The 14,314-nt window shown below is 44.8% G+C and overlaps 1 protein-coding gene and 1 pseudogene across 18 annotated transcripts in view; both read left to right on the forward strand.

Annotated features, from left to right (window-relative positions):
* Nucleotides 1–14,314, forward strand: part of TRAF3 (TNF receptor associated factor 3) — a 134,052-nt gene that overhangs the window by 81,137 nt on the left and 38,601 nt on the right. For all 18 annotated transcript variants that reach the window (NM_145725.3, NM_001385142.1, NM_145726.3 and 15 more), the window contains 2 exons: nucleotides 11,600–11,861; nucleotides 13,332–13,383. In NM_145725.3, coding sequence (NP_663777.1) covers nucleotides 11,617–11,861; nucleotides 13,332–13,383 — 297 coding nt within the window. In that variant the 5' untranslated portion in view covers nucleotides 11,600–11,616. The remainder of the gene's footprint in view (nucleotides 1–11,599; nucleotides 11,862–13,331; nucleotides 13,384–14,314) is intronic.
* Nucleotides 7,271–7,377, forward strand: RNU6-1316P (RNA, U6 small nuclear 1316, pseudogene; annotated as a pseudogene).

Here is a 14,314-nt window from a genome sequence, read left to right on the forward strand (position 1 = left end):
TGACAGAAAGTCTTAAGGCAGCCACTATTAAAGGCACAATTGACTAGGAATTTTGATTACTTTTGTGGCATACGATTTTACATAATAATTGTAATTATTAGTAACATATGCTAAGTCATATCACAATTCTAGGAGTTTCCCATTACTTTGGAACACATACCAATAACATATTTATATAAATACAGGTCAAAGAAAGCCAAACACCATTTCATATTTGACAGTGCTTCCTGTATGATTTTTATACCAAATAAGCCAAATTTCACCATTGCATTAGTGTACTATTAATGTTAAACCCAATTCTTAATAAAACATTATAGACAAATCTACCCAATTTTAATGTCAGACCAGAAGGTAAGATTCTTATAAACCTTTTATAACCCTTTACAAATTTTTGTTAAAGAGCAGATCAGTGCTCTAAGAAAACCTTGTTACGCTTTTATTCCAGTGTTCAATTTACGGAACTGTATCATACCCCTTTAACTTCAGCCAGTATGTTCACACACAGAATTTCTTTTAAAAGATTAATTTTTCACAAAATTTCCACAACTTTTGCAAACCTTCAGCTTTATCCTAACTTAAAACAATCCCTTAACCCTTTAATTTAGGCCAAAAAAAAAAAAAATCCACATTCACATGTCTCCTTCTCTTTTACCAAAAACACATTTCACTTTCCCTACACACCTTGCATGTAAAACTGTTTTTCCAGTAGTCTCAAGTAGATGTTACACTGTTAACTCTTAGCAGTGTTTATTTTTAGTGAAAAACTTGGTAAGCAATTTTAATTATGTACTAGGTATGGAGCCTAGGACACCAGGCAGAAGTGCAGATAAGGTCTGACACTTACTAGCATAGCTAGGAGGCATGGCTAACTCCACATGTCCCTAGGCCTTACCTAGAATCTAATGGCTGTAGGTAAGTTTAACAATTTTCAAAAGTCAAAGAGGCAGTTTATAAAGTTAAAGCGTTTAGCAAACCTAAAATTTGACCTGCCTGATTTAGACCGAATGTCTTTATTTTACCAATAATCTTTAAAATTTTCTTTACTTCCCACAGCTTAAGTCACACGAATTAAAAGGCATTACGCTTTTTATTTTTCTGACAAAATATTTGATTTAAACACTTATTTTTAAGCCAATTAATCAAAGCCTTTTATATCACACACACAACACATATAAATACACAGACAGAAGAAAATGTAGTAGTTGTAAGGTTTTTCCTTTGCCAGTTTCTTAATTGGATTAGTGGCTTTATGGTGGAGCCCTGGAGGAACAGGGCAAGGAAAGCATGCAGTTTCTATGGCCTAATAAGCAGGCACAATTGGAAGGCAAGACAGAGCCCCAAAACTTGAGGGTCCCATTTTTATATTGATCCTGGATCCCCCAAAGAGAAACGCTACAGAACACAACAGTGCAATGATTTTACCACATATTTCATTGCCAGGCAACCCAGAGCCAATCAGCCCTTTCTGAGATCAGCCCATCCCCCATGGGAGTCTTATCTCTCAGTGGGGAAGGGTGAGGACATCTCCATACCTTCCAGGTGGCCAAGAGCATGCTCTTAATCCAGACACACAAAGATCCAAGTATCCCCCACAGTGCCATTTAGCCATCCCCAAAAGTATTAAATGTATTTCCTACCTAGTTATATTACACACCAAAGTTCTCTCATAATGTGAAGTAATTTCTGATACCCCCAAAGTAAAAAACAGATAATGCAGTGCAAAACAGAACAGAGCCATAGATTTTGAGAGGGATCTATCCACTTTTAATAATTCTCGGGGTTCCATGAGGAAAATAGAGGTTTTTCCCAAAACAGGGTATGTGGTGCCTCCTCTGTTTTTCCTAAGAAGTCCCAGGCTGTTAGAGCTTGAATATCGACTTTTAATTAAGCTGACTTTTAACCATAGCACTCTTTAAAAAGTCGTTTTAAATATCTTATTACCCAACTTTAGCCACGCCAAACTGCCAATATTCCTGGCTTTTTAACTTTTCCAAATGTAACCTCCCAGGTGCTGAGAGAAAGGAAAATTTAAGACAGTTTATGAAAGGGAGGAGAATCAACAAATGGCACAGGTCACCCAAATGCCAACCAGAAAGTGCTCATTTTCTAGGCTAAAAATTGAACCTGAACTCAGGCCACCATTGTGAAAAGACAAAGCCTTAACTGCTAAGCTACAGCATTGGGCAGTTTCCACTGCTTTTCCCAGAAGGAGCCCAGAGCAGTAAATTTTGAGCTTGCAAAGGCTTTTAACTGCTCAAGATAATTTGTAGAGCTAACTACTACCCCAAAATCCCTGTTGCCTGGAAGGCAGAGACAAAGAGAAAGTACTGCCATATGATTACAAGGTCAAGCTCTCAGGGACATTTCTCAACATGTGGTCTTTGGGCAAGATGGTGGCCCTGAATAACAGAAAAGATAGGAAAGGGAAAGGAAAGAAAGGGAGAAAAGCATTGCCTGCAGCAGGCTGGGGAATGCAAGAAGCTCAGGGAGGCCAGAGAAAGACCCGCCCATTGCAGCTGACACTGAATCAGAAGTTCAGGTGGCTGCTTTTTGGGAGCGTAGGGATCTTTCCCAGCATTCCCATCAGCTCTAGTTTCCCCTTTTGGGGAGGAAAAAGCTCCCCATGTCCCATAATCTTGGACATGTCTAGTTCTGTCACCCACAGCCATCAGCAAAGAGTGCAAGGCAGATTAATCCAAAGAGAATAGCAGTTAACATCCCATAGTGCCAAACTGGTTCTTAGTCGAGAGGGACTCTACTGAGAGGGGCCTCCAACCCCCTAAATTTTAGGAAGGACTCTAACCTTCCTAAGTTGGGCATCAAACCCAAGTTCAGTCAAGCGTGCTTGCCTTTTATTAACAGGCACCTTTATCCCTCTCTTAGGAGAGACTCTAACTCTCCTAAGTTGGGCCTCTAACCCAATCCCATCCTTTACCCAGGTAACTGCATCCCACTTACCCAAGGTCGGCCAATCAGTGCTGCAGTCTATTTCCTTTGGGTTGGGAGTCTCCTCAGTATCATCCCTTTGGGGCTTGCCAGGAAGATGTTACCGGAAAGGGGTCCCAATCCAGACCCCAAGAGAGGGTTATTGAATCTCATGCAAGAAAGAATTCAGGGTGAGTCTATAAAGTGAAAGCAAGTTTATTATAGAAGTAAATAAAAAAGTGGCTACTCAATAGGCAGAGCAGCCGATTTGTATTTTCTTAATGATATTGATATTGGACATCTTTTTATGCGCTTGTTGAATATTTCAGTATCTTCCTTGGAGAAACGTTTATACAGATCCTTTGCTCATTTTAAAATTGGGTTGTCTTTTTGTGGTTGAGTTATAAGAGTGCTTTATATATATCCTGGATGCTAAACCCTTATTAGATATGTGATTTGCAAGTATTTCCTCCCATTCTGTTAATTGTCTTTTCACTTTATTGATAATCTCATTTGGTGCTCAAAAGTTTTTCATTTTGATGAATGAAGTTCAGTTTATCTAGTTTTTTATTTTGTTGCTTATACTTTTGTTGTTGTATCTAAGAATCCATTGCCAAATTCAGGGTCATTAAAGATTTACCTCCTGTGTTTTCTTCTAAGAGCTTTCTAATATATTTTTTGGGGATCTCATTCATTTTTGAAAGATAGTTTTACTGGATATAGAATTCTTGGTTGAAAAATAGCCAGACATGATGGCACTGGCCTGTAGTCCCAGCTCCCAGAGAGACTGAGGCAGGAGGATTGCTTGATCCCAGGAGTTGGAGACTGCCGTGAGCTATGATTGCACCACACTGCACTCCAGCCTGGGTGACAGAGTAAGATCCCTTCTCCAAAAAAAAAAAAAAAAAAAATTATTGGTTGACAGATTTTTTTCTTTCAGCCCTTTAATTTGTCACCTTTCGGCCTCCATGGCTTTAGATGAGAAATCAGTTGTTAATCTTACTGAGAAATCCTTGTACTTGAAGAGTCACTTCTCTCTTGCTGCTTTCTACAGTTTGGCTACAGTGTGTCTGGGTGTGGCTCTTTGAATTTATCCTACTTGGAGTTTGTCGAGCTTCCTGGTTATGCAGATTAATGTTTCTCATTAAATACAGGACTTTTCTACCATTATTTCTTCAAACTTTTTTTTGTCTTTTTTTCTCTCTGTCTTTCTAAGACCCTATAATATGTATGTTGGTACAATTGATGGTGTCCCACAAGTCTCTGAGGCTGTTTATTTTCTTCATTATTTTTTCTTCTGTTCCTTACACTTTATAATCTCAATTATCCTATCTTTAAGTTCTCTGATTCTTACTGCTGTTTATTTCTGCTGTTGAGCCCCTGCAGTGAATTTTTCATTTCAGTTTTTGTGCTTTTCAACTCCAGAATTTTTGTTTGGTTCTTTTTTTAAACTATTTTTTTCTTTATCAATATTTTCTATTCAGTGAGACATTGTTCTGATGGATCTTGTAGATTTTTGAACATGGTTTTCTTTAGTTCTTTGAACATATTTAAAATAGCATATTTAAAGTCTTCATCCATACGTCTAATGCCTGGGCTTCCTCTTAAACAATTTCTGTTAGTTGCCTTTTTTCTGCATGTGAACCATACTTTCTTGTTTCTTTGCATGCCTTGTGATATTTTGTTGAAAACTGGAACTTTTGAATTTTTACCGTGGCAACTCTGGAAATGAGATTCTTCCTTCTCCCCCAGGGTTTATTGACTGCTTGTTACAGTCATTGTTTGTATAGTTACTTTTCTGAGCTAATTTTATATAGTATATATTCTTTATCATGTGTGGCCTCTGAGTTCTCTGTTCCATTAATATAGTGGTCAGCTTGTGATTAGACAGAGATTTAAGCGCCTAGAACAAAAAATGTCTCCCAGTCTTTTGAGATGAGGTCTGTGTGTATGTTGGAGCACACCTTCAACACTCAGCCAGGCATTTGACGGTGATCCCTGAGCATTCGCTGCCTGCTTGCACAGATCCTGAAGGTCAGCCAGAGGTGAAAGCCTAGGGCCTTTTCAGGTCTTTCCTGAACATGTACACAGCCCTGGGCATTTGTGGAGCCTTCTGGATTTCCAAGAATGTGTCAGAGCTTTTCAAACCTTTATTTTCCAAAACATCTTACTCCTCAGCTTTTCTTCCCAAGCTTTTGGTTAAATCTATTGTTTGCCTCAACTGTTATTCAGTGCTTCAGGCAGCAGCAAATATGTTTGTCTGTAAATGTTTCCAATAACCTTTTCCCATCTTTCCCTAGTAGATGCCTCAGCACTGGGAGGTAAAGTCAAGCCCTTTGAGCCAGTCTTCCAGGGACTCAGTAGACAGGTCGAAACAAACAACTGCAGTTCTTTGCCGATGAGGCCCATTCTGCTCCCTCTGGGACCAGTGCATGCACCGGAGTGGCAGCCTCTTGTCTTCTAGGCCACTGCGGCAGCCAGGATGGGACCAGAGAAAGTTAAAATGCCATGGAACTCGCGGTTCTTGCTGAGATTCACCTGGTTTTTCTTGATTAAGCATTCTTCTGATTGCTGCAAGTTTTTAATTAGTTTTCCAAAGTTTTAAAATAGTAGATTCTAACGGTTTTTGCCTTTTTCTTTTTTTTTTTTTTTTTTGGAGACGGATTCTTGCGCTCTCACCCGGGCTGGAGTGCAGTGGCGCCATCACGGCTCACTGCAAGCTCCGCCTCCCAGGTTCACGCCATTCTCCTGCCTCAGCCTCTCTAGTAGCTGGGACTACAGGCACCCGCCACCACGCCCGGCTAATTTTTTGTATTTTTAGTAGAGATGGGGTTTCACCGTGTTAGCCGGGATGGTCTCGATCTCCTGACCTCGTGATCTGCCCACCTCGGCCTCCCAAAGTGCTGGGATTACAGGTGTGAGCCACCGCGCCCGGCCTAGTTTTTGCCAGTTTTTAAAATGTGTATATTGAAGGATGGACTTTGAGTTCCTTACTCAGCCATTTTTGTGGACATGATTTACTAGTCATAATTTAAATTGAATATTTTAGGACATATTAAATTATGATCAGTTTCGAGGTTGCCAAATTTACGTACACCTTACTTGGTTACACAAGAGATTTAAGATGGCTTACAAGGATAAATAGCATAAGAGATGCAATAAATTATCATTGTCAGTATTTGTTGGGTTGAGGGCATGTTAGTAAAAACTGCCCTCCCTGCTGTTAAGAACTTGATCCTACAGACAGAAATGTTTCCTTGGCAGCCTTGAGATTCTTGCCCTCTCTCTGTTACGTCAGTGGTGGGGAACCTGGGGCAGATTCGCCTCCGTGGCTTCTCCTGCATGACTGCGTTGGGCTGAGGGAGATATGCCAGGTTAGTGCCCAGCAGTAGGGATGGTTGTTACTGTCTGCCTCTGAGTTGATTGTGAGAAATGTGTCTCCAGTGTTGGTTTTCCTAAATCTAAAACTCTCCTTTGCTCAGGACAGGACAGGTAAGTGTTTATATCCTATTTGAGGACTTAAGACATCATGTCTATTGTCCTATTTGCTTCAGGAGGTGATCAGGGGATTCTTACACTTCAGATCAGAAGTGACTGCTCTTGGTGGCTGTTGATCACTGGGAGAGTCAAGAGTCATCAGTAAACCTGAGACTTGTCCATCCCCTGGTTCTGGTGCCTGTTGAGGTGTCTGTCTCCTGCTTTCCCAGGAGCCAGTTCAGTCCTGTGGCCACCTCATTGATATAGAAGGTCACGGGGCTGCCGGCTGGGCTCTGCTCAGGGTTCGTGTCATTTCTTTCTTCAGCTTTTGTTTAGAAAGCATATTTTCCTTGAGCAATGTCTGTCAATTTGACATAGTGGCTCATTTACTAGTCTTACTTGAGAACACCTCCTTTTGACATTGCTTCTGTGATAGAATTAGAGCTGCTTTCTGTTTTTATATATTGGATTGTCCCTTTTTCATCAGCATCACTCATAAGTTAATCTGAATTTTTTTTTTTTTTTTTTTTGAGATGGAGTCTCATTCTGTCACCGAGGCTGGAGTGCAGTGGCACGATCTCGGGTCACTGAAACCTCTGCCTCCCAGGTTCAAGCAATTCTCCTGCCTCAGCCTCCCAAGTAGCTGGGACTACAGGCATGTGCCACCATGCCCAACTAATTTTTGTATTTTAGTAGAGACGGGGTTTCACCATGTTGGCCAGGGCTGGTCTTGAACTCCTGACCTCAAGTGATTTAGCCGCCTCAGCCTCCCAAAGTGCTGGGATTACAGGCGTGAGCCACTGTGACTGGCCTAATAAAATTAAGATTTCTCTTCATTAAAAGACACTATAAATAAAGTCAAGCCATAGTGCTGGCTTTGGCAGCACATATACTAAAATTGGAATGATACAGAGAAGATTAGCATGGCCCCTGCACAAGGATGACATGCAAATTCATGAAGCAGTTCCGTATTTTTAAAACACATGCACACATATGTTTATTGCAGCACTATTTACAATAGCAAAGACTTGGAACCAACCCAAATGCCCATCAGTGATAGACTGGATAAAGAAAATGTGGCACATATACACCGTGGAATACTATGCAGCCATAAAAAAGAATGAGTTCATGACCTTTGCAGGGACATGGATGAAGCTGGAAACCATCATTCTCAGCAAACTAACAGAGGAATAGAAAACCAAACACCACATGTTCTCACTCGTAAGTGGGAGTTGAACAGTGAGAACACATGGACACAGGGAGGGGAACATCACACACTGGGGCCTGTCGGAGGGTGGGGATAGCATTAGGAGAAATACCTAATGTAGATGACGGGTTGATGGGTGCAGCAAACCACAACGGCACGTGTATACCCATATAACAAGTCTGCATGTACTGCACATGTATCCTAGAACTTAAAGTATAATAATTTAAAAAAAAGTCAAGCTATAAATAGGGAAAAGACATCTGTAATACATAAAACTAACAAAGGATTAGCTGTTAACATATTAAATAGATGGGGAATCTCCCCAAATCAATATTACGAGACAGGAACCCAATTAAAAAAATGACACCACCAGGCGCAGTGGTTCATGCCTGTAATCCCAGCACTTTGGGAGGCTGATGTGGAAGGATCATTTGAGGCCAGGAGTTTGAGAGCAGACTGGGGAACATAGCGAGACCCCCAGCTCCTGAAAAAATAAAAAAATTAGCTGGGCATGGTGGCATGTGCCTATAATCCTAGCTACTCTGGAGGCTGAGGTGGGAGGATTGCTTGAGCCCAGGGGGTCGAGGCTGCAGTGAGCCATGATGGCACCACTATACTCCAGCCTGGGCAACAGAACGAGACTCCATCTCTTGAAAACACACACACACACACACACACACACACACACACACACACACAAAACAATGACAAGAAGGCACAATTTGGCATTTCACGGAAGAGAAAACAAGTGGCCTCTCAGCATATGAAAAGATGCCAAACCTTTCTAATCAGGATAAGGGGCATAAAGACCATAGTCCTTGGTTGGTAGAAATTAAGATGACTGATAACTGTAAGTGTTGGTGAGAGTGTGGTTTCATAGAAATTCTTGTGCTGCTAGTGGAAGTATTTGTTGTTACCTCTGCTTTGGAGAGCAGTTTGGCACTCATTTACAAAACTGGCCTTTCGTACAACCTACACACCAGCGACTCCTCTCTGCTCTTTAGATGTAGAGTCCAGAGCAAGGACTGGTAAACTCTTTCTGTTACGGGCAAGAGAGTAAATATCCTAGGCTTTGTGGACTACATACACACTTAGTCTTTGTTTTTATAACACTTAAAAAATCTAAAAAGCATTCTTAGTTCAAAGACCTTACAAAAATAGGCTGCTGGCTGGATTTGATTTGCAGGCTGTAGTTTGCCAATTCCTGGTTCTCTGATCTAGGGGACGCATCCTGGAGAAACTTAGTTACATGCAGTCTTAGTGGCAGGAGGGCCAGGGGAAAAGCACAGAGCGGTATGGGGGAGTTGAGAGAGACTGGGAGGGTGGCCTCCTGGAGAAGGTCGGGGGCTGGACTGCATGTGTCTGGGTAGGCTCAGCCATGGCCTGGCTGGGTGGGCCTAGGGGAACGTAGAGCTTCTGAGGCACAATAGGCCAGTGTGGAGAGCAGAGTGGCAGGCAGGGCTGGGGGCTGCAGGTCGAGGCTGGTCAACCCTTTTACCTGGCGGGCAAGGCTAGTACCAGGTGCCCTTGCTACTTAGCTTGGAAAGATTAGTGAGCATCATAATGGACCGGCAAGTTTGTAAGCAAATGACATCTATAATACATATACTTTAACATTAATGTTTTGAAAACTTTGTTTTCACAAATAAGTAATTTCCCACATTTTGCCACAGTTATGTTCTATGAAGCTAACCCAAGTGTGGCTAGAACGCCAGTTCATCCATCTCTCAAATTGTCTGCTGCCGGCGTTCATTCCTGTTTGCTTCTAGCTGTAAAGTCAGGCTAGGAGTCTGTCAGCTCATGTGCCTGTCAGCTTCATGCAGGCAGCAAGAACGGGGCTCGGAAGCAAGGGCTCCGCCCGCCCACCCAGCAACTACCTCCCCAGGATGCCCAGGAGCTCAGGGGTGGAAGGAATTTGGCTCTTATTTTTCTAAGTAGCAAAAATAGATGAATTGGGTACAGGAACGCAGTGTATTTTTGAGGGAGCTGGTGAGTTGTGAAAGAAACTTCCTCTGTTCACCTGAGGCTTACCGTATCGTGAGAAAGGATGGAGGAGGCATGGAGGTGGGAAACTCTACACAAGAAAAATCCTATAGTGCAGCAGCTACTGATGTGAGGCGGCTGGTCTAGGCAGCGGTGTTCCCTGAGGCTCCTGAGTCTGGTTCTCACTGGGTCCCTCACCTCCCTTCACAGCCACTCCCTTCCTTACCAAGGTACATGGGAGTACAGGGCTGGCCAGGGGCTGTTGACAGTGGGGGAGTGGTGCAGGCTGAGCCTTAGAGACAGGAAGGGCATCTGTGCTGGAGCTGCCCTGCAGAAGCCTCGTAAAGGTCGTAAGGCACTGGGCAAAAACTTTTCCAAGAAAGTTCATGGTGCACACGCTGACCTAAACACTGGCCGACATTCCCAAGGTTTTTTTCATTATGGAAGTGCATGGCCATTGCATGGTATCCAGAAAACAAAGACCAGAGAAGCCAGACTTTATACCACCATCTGGAAACATTTAATTTGTGCTTTAGGTAAGTGTTAGCAAATATTTAGGATGATTGATCAAATCATTAGTGTGTTTATGAGTGCATGGTGTAATTTTTACTAAAGCTCACATTTCTTCAGGAACTCGATTCAACTCCTTTACATTCCTGGTTATTTTCATTTACTTGATCTTGAGGTCTCATCTGGCAGAGCTGTGCAAGCTGGGACCTTTGTGGCTTATTTTGAGGAGCTGTTTACTTTACCTGTTGATGGGAACTTGCAGGTGGGAGGCAGCCAGTCTTAAAGAGTACCTTGTTAGCAAGTGTGGAAGAGAGTCCGCGCAGACAGACTTGCCCTATGTGGTGTCCCCTCTGCCAGCCCAGCCCTTGGGCACATTGGCACCTACCTGAACCCGAGCCCCCTCATGCACACAGGGAGCCGCACCTCCCTCACACGCTCCTCACCAGTGTGACATGGTGTGACGTGCTCTGTGGGTCCACAACGGGCCCACTCCACAGCTCTGTGCACAGCATGCTGGGTCAGGGTGGTGCTAGATTAATAAGATGAGGGTGAATGTCAAAACTGAGCACTTTGAGTACTGTGGGCACACTGTCACAGGGTTTACCCAGGAAGGAACAACCCCTGGGCTCCAGAAGCAGGTTGACCAGGCCAGTCTGAGTTGTAGCATTGAGACTCATCTAGCGGAAGTCAATGAGGAAGGAAAACTGGCTGAGAACAGCTGTTGTTTCAGTTAAAATCTCAGAATGATGCATTGAATTCAAAGTTACAACACAGCAAAATAGTATATGTATTTTTTTAAACCTCAAAAATACTGTATTATTAACTTTAAAACATTTTTGGCTGGTGTGGTGGCTCACACCTGTAATCCCAGCACTTTGGGAGGCTGAGGCAGGCAGATCACGAGGTCAGGAGATTGAGATCATCCCGGCTAATGTGGTAAAACCCCGTCTCTACTAAAAATACAAAAAATTAGCCAGGTGTGGTGGTGGCCGCCTGTAGTCTCAGCTACTCGGGAGGCTGAGGCAGGAGAATGGCATGAACCTGGGAGGCGGAGCTTGCAGTGAGCCAAGATGGCGCCACTGCACTCCAGCCTGGGCAACAGAGCGAGACTCCGTCTAAAAAAAAAAAAAAAAAATTTTTGGAGACAGGGCCTCGCTCTGTTGCTCAGCCTAGAGTGCAGTGGTGCCATCATAGCTTGGTGCAACCTTCAACTCCTGGGCTCAGCAATCTTTCCACCTCATCCCAATTTATTAAGTATACTTTTTAGGAAGTTTTTTGAATAATAATATCAATAGTTACTATGTGTTTGGGTAAAATAGAAAGGATGGAAGCATATTTGATCATGTTTTGTTCCCAACACATATTAAAGTTGGGAAGGATTCTTGTGTTGCCTAAAACTGAAAGACAGCAGGTCTCAGGCACTTTTGCTTTCCCAAAGCTGTGTTTGTTTCCTTGCATGAGAGGATATGATGGCACTCTACTGTTTTTTCCCGACAGAACTCCTCTTTCCTAAAATGGAGTCGAGTAAAAAGATGGACTCTCCTGGCGCGCTGCAGACTAACCCGCCGCTAAAGCTGCACACTGACCGCAGTGCTGGGACGCCAGTTTTTGTCCCTGAACAAGGAGGTTACAAGGAAAAGTTTGTGAAGACCGTGGAGGACAAGTACAAGTGTGAGAAGTGCCACCTGGTGCTGTGCAGCCCGAAGCAGACCGAGTGTGGGCACCGCTTCTGCGAGAGCTGCATGGCGGCCCTGCTGAGGTAGGCGCCCTCGCCCGGCCCGTCGCCCGGCCCCTTCTCAGCCCTCGGCCTCACCCTCTCCTTCATTCGTTTCTCTAAAAATAAACCTCTAGAGGTTTAAAGCCCTAAAGAAGTCCATAAAAGCCTCCGGGCCCAGCTTGTGAATCCTTTAGGGAGGTGCAGTGGGATCCCACGTGTGGGTTTACTGAGGCCTCTGCGTGTCTCTGACCTGCCCCGCCCGTGTCTTCCCACTCCGTCTGTAGAGCCTTGGTGCCCCTCATATGTGTTGCTGTATTTTATTGAGGAACCTCACAGTTCCATGGAGGAGATACACCAGGAAATGACAAGCCAGTCATTTAAGGGCACGTGTGCTGGTGTGCAAGGATGCCGCAGAGAGGAGGGAGGATGGGGTCAGCTTAAAGGACTGGACAGGTCCCTACCCGAGCAGAAACCTAGGCCGCATGCTTACTCAGCAGGCGTGTGTGGAACATGCACCGAGCCCATGGCAGCCCTTTGCTGCTGAGTGCCAGTGCTGGTACCGCTGGTGGATCATGAAGGCAGGCTGGAGCTTTACTGCAGAATAGCATCGGCCAGAAGAGCACCTTGATTCACCCTGCAGGCCTCATGTTTTCTGGCATTGTGCTGGGTGCTGGGGTCGCTGCGGGATGCCCTGGTCTTGGCCACTGCCGTCAGGGCATGTCGGCCTGGGAAGGTTGCCAGCTCCTCCTCCCACAGCACTCAAGCCTGGGCTGCACCCGAGCCCCAGCCTGGGCACAGCAGCCAGCCCCCTGCCCTGTCACCTGCCTTCACCCTCCCCCTTCTCCATGCTTCCCTCTGTGGTCTTACCCACTCATCCCAAATAGTCAGCTAACCTTTGCCCACTTGGGGGCAAAATGACACTTGAGCTTAGTGACAGCACAGGAGACACAGAACACCGTGTCTCCTAACACAAGAGCCTGGACTACACCTCTGGGCCCAGGAGAAGCTTCCCGGTGGAGGAGGGGCTGGAGCCCCCATATATGGTGGGCCACAGGGGAGGGAGGCTGGTCCCCCTGTGCAGGTGCCATTGGCCTTCCAATAGACAGTGAAGCCAAATGGCCTGTGGAGAAGGGCTGGCTGCTTTTACAACGCAGGAGCAAGGCTCTCCAAGTAAACAGGTACTCACACTGAAGAGCTGCTCTGCAGACAGCTAGCTTTGGTTTCTGAAATAAAATTTCACTTTTACATTAAGTGGAAGGGGCTTTCCAAGTGGGACTGAACTAAACTGTTCTACTTGGTAACTTCCTTTTGAAAAATCAGCATTTTAAAAAATGTAGCCCTTTTCTCCCATGGCTTCCTATGTAAAGTGAATCACCAGGGCGTCCTGAAGCTCTGCTGGTTGCTGTGAGCCACTGTGCAGACCTGACCATAAAGTGAATGCTCCCAGAATCTCCTGAGTCCTCTCAAGAAAGGGACTTCCACTCTAATGCAGTCACTTGTGTTTCCCTGCAGCTCTTCAAGTCCAAAATGTACAGCGTGTCAAGAGAGCATCGTTAAAGATAAGGTATTCTGGGGTTTTTTTTAATCATTTTGTCACATGTTTTCAGCTGGGTAATACTTTTCACATAGTTTGCATTCGGCACTCTGGCACAACACATTCTCTCAGTTTTGGCAGCTGATGCGGCAGGCTCCCAGGCAGGACACTGTGCCATGTGATCACCTGGGCAGACAGTGGATTCAGATCCACTTGGCCACTTCCCTACTGTGTGAACTCTGTGAGCTACTTCACCCCCTCACCTGTAATAATCATATCACCTGCTAAGACCGCAGGGAGCTGGTGTGAGGAGTAAGGGGTTGATGTGAGCAAAGTGCTGAGATGCCTGTCTGTGGCAGGGCTGTCTGTGGTTGGGTCACTTCCGTCATTGCAGGTCTTTATCCCAGACAGCTTCTACTCAACTCTTACACTAGGTTTTACCTTCAGACTCGCTAGGCTGAGGGGTTCATTTGAGTTTGTGCTCCCTGCCCCCCAGGCCCCCTGTGATATCTTTAAGTCATTAGACATGAGTGAGATTAGCCCCTTCTCGCCCCCTGTGGCTGTCCTCAGCTAGAGCCCGTGGGCGTCTCTGCACATTCAGAGGATGGGGCTGCCCAGCCTGCCACCAGCTTCTCTCCTGGGGCCTGGTCCTTCTCATGGAGACTGACAGTCATCCATGTGCTGCTGTACCCTGCCAGGTATACTTGGAGTTTGAAACAATTCTTTTCTTTTCTTTCTCTCTCCTTTCTTTCTTCTTTTTCTTTTTTTTTTGCGACAGAGTTCACTCTTGTTGCACAGGCTGGAGCACAATGGCACGATCTTGGCTCGCTGCAGCCTCCACCTCCCAGGTTCAAGCAATTCTCATGCCGCAGCCTCCCGAGTAGCTGGGATTACAGGCACGAGCCACCACGCCCAGCTAATTTTTGTATTTTTAGTAGAGACGGGGTTTCACCGTGTTGGT

This window comes from Homo sapiens, chromosome 14 (genome assembly GCF_000001405.40).
Source record: "Homo sapiens chromosome 14, GRCh38.p14 Primary Assembly".
Taxonomy (NCBI): domain Eukaryota; kingdom Metazoa; phylum Chordata; class Mammalia; order Primates; family Hominidae; genus Homo; species Homo sapiens.